The following is a 3,539-nucleotide window of genomic DNA, read 5'->3' on the forward strand; positions in this document are numbered from 1 at the left end:
TTTTCTTGGAAAGTAGCCTTTCTTTTGATGGGTTACTAGGAATTAAGCATTTTAGCATTCTTTATTAATTTTTCAAAGTCACTAGGACCAAGGATAACAATTCATCATGTGCATACAAGGCCATTCTGTGTTTCCTACTCTTGCCTTGGGCTCATCATTATTAATCTGGAATTCCATTTGTTCTTCACTTTTTGAATATGTCTGTTTAGTTGACTGTAGTGCCACTGGCAGGACCATGTGCCCAGGAAATCCAAGACTCATATTTGGACGAAAGCTATGTCCACTTTTCAACTAGTACCCCTACCCAAATTACCATAGCAACCAAAAAATTGCAGATGCCTACATTCTAGAATCATGTTCTAAAGGGATGTCATCATTTACAAAATGTCTTTGTTGAGTCTGAATGGTTCAAACAATAGCAAAAAAGGATTATTTCTCTCTTGGACATTTCAAAGTACTATGACACAAAATATCCAAGACTTGTTATGGTGAGGAGCCAAGTGGAATGGAAAGGACAGCTCATCCCGGCGGCTGGGAGTGCATGCACACACATGCCCCCTTTTTCTTGCCTACTAACAGGATCTATAGAAGGCGTACATAATGAGTATGTAGGGGACTTGGCTGCTTTCAGTTAGGAATGAGACACTGATATGGTTGGAATATAGTAAGAGAAAAAGGGAGGTCTTTCTTAAAAAACGGTTTTGTGTAAAAATAGAGATGGCACTTAATGGATATCATATTAGCAGGCTCCCTGGACAAATACATAGAGCCAAAACTTCTCATCGATTAGCCACCTCTTCAAGTTTAGGGGTTGAAAATCTGAAACAACTACAAACATGGTATCTCTCTGAAAAGGAGATAACGTAAAAGTTATCACATATTAATATAATGTGTATGAATAAATTGACAAGCTGGTTAGAAATTAGAAATAAAAGTCTTGAGGCAATAAAAGAGGTAATAACATAGGCAAAAAGAGCTCTTCTTCTGGAGAGTGGTTGTAGATGGAGTAAACAAGTTTAGGTACTGAACTGAGAATAGCACATGGATAGACCAATTGTGGATGAAGGAGACTAAAGAGAGGTTTAACGAATATTGAAATGAACCTCCAGGTAGGTTGTATTTATTAGTTTGCTGGGAACAAGCTGCTTTTCTCTCTCCTGTGAAGCAGGAAGGCAAATTTCTAGTGGCTTTCCAAAGGAAATGGGAAATCTAAGGAAATGGTTTGATACCAGAGTGTTCTCCTTAGGTTTATTTTAATGATGGACTTAAAGATACTTTCCTATACTCATGAGCTATGTTGTCTCTGATATTCTTTGGTATATTTTACCAAAAAGATAGAATAGGTGCCACAAGTATTAAAAATTTTAGACTCCTCAGAGCATTACAAAAAACAAGCACAAAATAGAAGCCTAATATGCAGGGAAAGTCACTGACCATGCCCTTGGTACTGCTGATTGTATTGCAGAGCAAGAGATGGACCCTGAGGGTACTTGAAGCCAACAAGTTTCACTTCTGGAAAAAGACTTCAGAATATGAGTTTAAAATATAAAAAGGGAATTTGAGCCAAGACACAAGAACAAACTTTTTTTGACAATTATATCTTTATTATTCCTCTTACAGAGCTACATTTACTCTTACTAAGTTTCAGAGTCAGGTAGTAATTTACAGTAAGACTGAATTACCATCCATAACGTTAGATGTCCTTATTGAAACTTCAACATCATTTCCAAATATCAGCATTAGCATTGTGCTTGACATTCATTTAACGAAGTTACTGAAAATCTATTAAGTATAAGACATCAGTTATTTTTAATAGAAGTTTCTGAAAACATTTCAGCAAAATAGCCTGTTGAGAAAAATGTGTATGCTGAAAAAAAAAAATGAACAAATAGGAAAGCCTGGTTCACAAACAGGTGTCAGGGAAATAGACAGTACTTTTATAGTAATAACATAAGAACAAACTTCTTGAAGGTAAGTTTTATTAAATAATAGGACAACAACAAGATAAAATGACTTCTTCCTGATATTTATATATTGATTGCTGGCTGGTCATAAGACTGTTTTTAGGCAACGTGTTTTGAAAAACCAGAAAGTCTACTACCTTGAGTTTTCAGCCACGTGAGAATAGCAAGATTCAGTGTTTATACTTGATAGCATCTTAATTAGGCCTACAGGCCTCCCTTTCACATAACTACCTTCAAGTTTATGACAGCTCAAACTCACAATTATCATTATGGAGAAGAGAGAAGAGTTAAGCTAAAAACAGACCACTTTCAGAGGACCTGAAAGCAACGTAATCAGTCACCTATTGCCATATACAAGCCACCCCCAAACATAATGACTTAAAACAGCGATCATCTATTATTGCTTATGAGTCTCTGAGTCAGCTGAACATTCCTGCTGATCTGGGCTTGGTTAGGCTTATTTTAGCTGTGTTCATTCTTGGTCTGCAGATAGCTGACAATCACCTAGGGGCTGACTGTAGGCATTCCAGCTGAGATATGCTCTCTGTGTCTTTTATCCTTTAGCAGGAGGAGGCTTGCTCACAGGGTGGTTACAGGCATCCAAGAGAGTCAGCATAAATGTGAAAAGTTTCCAAAATATCAGATTCAGTCCTATGTAATCTGGTTTCCATTGCATTCTCTTGGCCAGAGCAAGTTGCAAGACAAGTCCAAATTCAAGAAGGTCAAGAAATACACTCCATCTCCAGGTAGGAGAAGCTGCAAAGAACTGTGACAATCTATGACAAATAGTATGTTCAAAGGGAATAATATGGGAAGATGTGCCCTCCGCCAACTTCTCAGGGAAAAATACAGCTTTTGTAATATTTAGTAATATAGACTGTCTAATATTTCTAGAGAAATCTATGACTTTGAGTTGAAATATCTGAGGCCAACACTCCAAGCAATTTTAAACAAGTGGTGACAGAAATTACCAGACACACATCAAGACTCAAGTATAAAGCTATACAATTTAAGGATGCTCAGCAAATGTTACTGAATTGACTGGGTAGTCCCTAAAGAGCTGAAGAATAAAAGATGTTATGAGAAATCCAACAATACCAAATATAAATTGCCTCAGGTTCTGAAATATTCAATAAAGTATTCTCACTGTAGTTCCTTCAGCTTAGCTGATTTGGACTTTGGCTGTGAAAACATTATCCTCAGTGTTTAAAAGGTTGGAAAATTCTACTGGGTCTTTGGCCCAACCTGGAATTAAATCCTGATGCTTAGAACCTCAAAGTCTAAAATCTTCTATTGTCACTTTACAGAGCTATTGAAACATATTAATAAACTTGTATCATACTGATTTGATTCTAATTTTTGTGGGACATTGTTTAAAAATTGTTGAAATGCATATATGGAAAATTGATTTTTTAAGTAAATGTATAACTTTTAAAATTGTATCCTACATCTAACTCCAAATAAAGGTTTAAAAACAACTATGAGCAATATAAGTAATACATTTAAAATACATTTAAGAGAAAGATAAGGAAAAAAGGAATGACTCATGAAGGTTAGTACACAATCTATGCATCT

At 35.9% G+C, this 3,539-nt stretch overlaps 1 long non-coding RNA gene across 1 annotated transcript; it reads left to right on the forward strand.

The window, feature by feature from the left end:
• The first annotated feature begins 354 nt into the window (after positions 1-354).
• On the forward strand, positions 355-3,309 carry LINC02059 (long intergenic non-protein coding RNA 2059). Its single transcript, NR_105017.1, has 3 exons — positions 355-604; positions 2,653-2,710; positions 2,859-3,309. It is a non-coding gene; the product is annotated as a long intergenic non-protein coding RNA 2059 (long non-coding RNA).
• Positions 3,310-3,539: the final 230 nt, after the last annotated feature.

This window comes from Homo sapiens, chromosome 5 (genome assembly GCF_000001405.40).
Source record: "Homo sapiens chromosome 5, GRCh38.p14 Primary Assembly".
NCBI classification, from domain to species: Eukaryota; Metazoa; Chordata; class Mammalia; order Primates; family Hominidae; genus Homo; species Homo sapiens.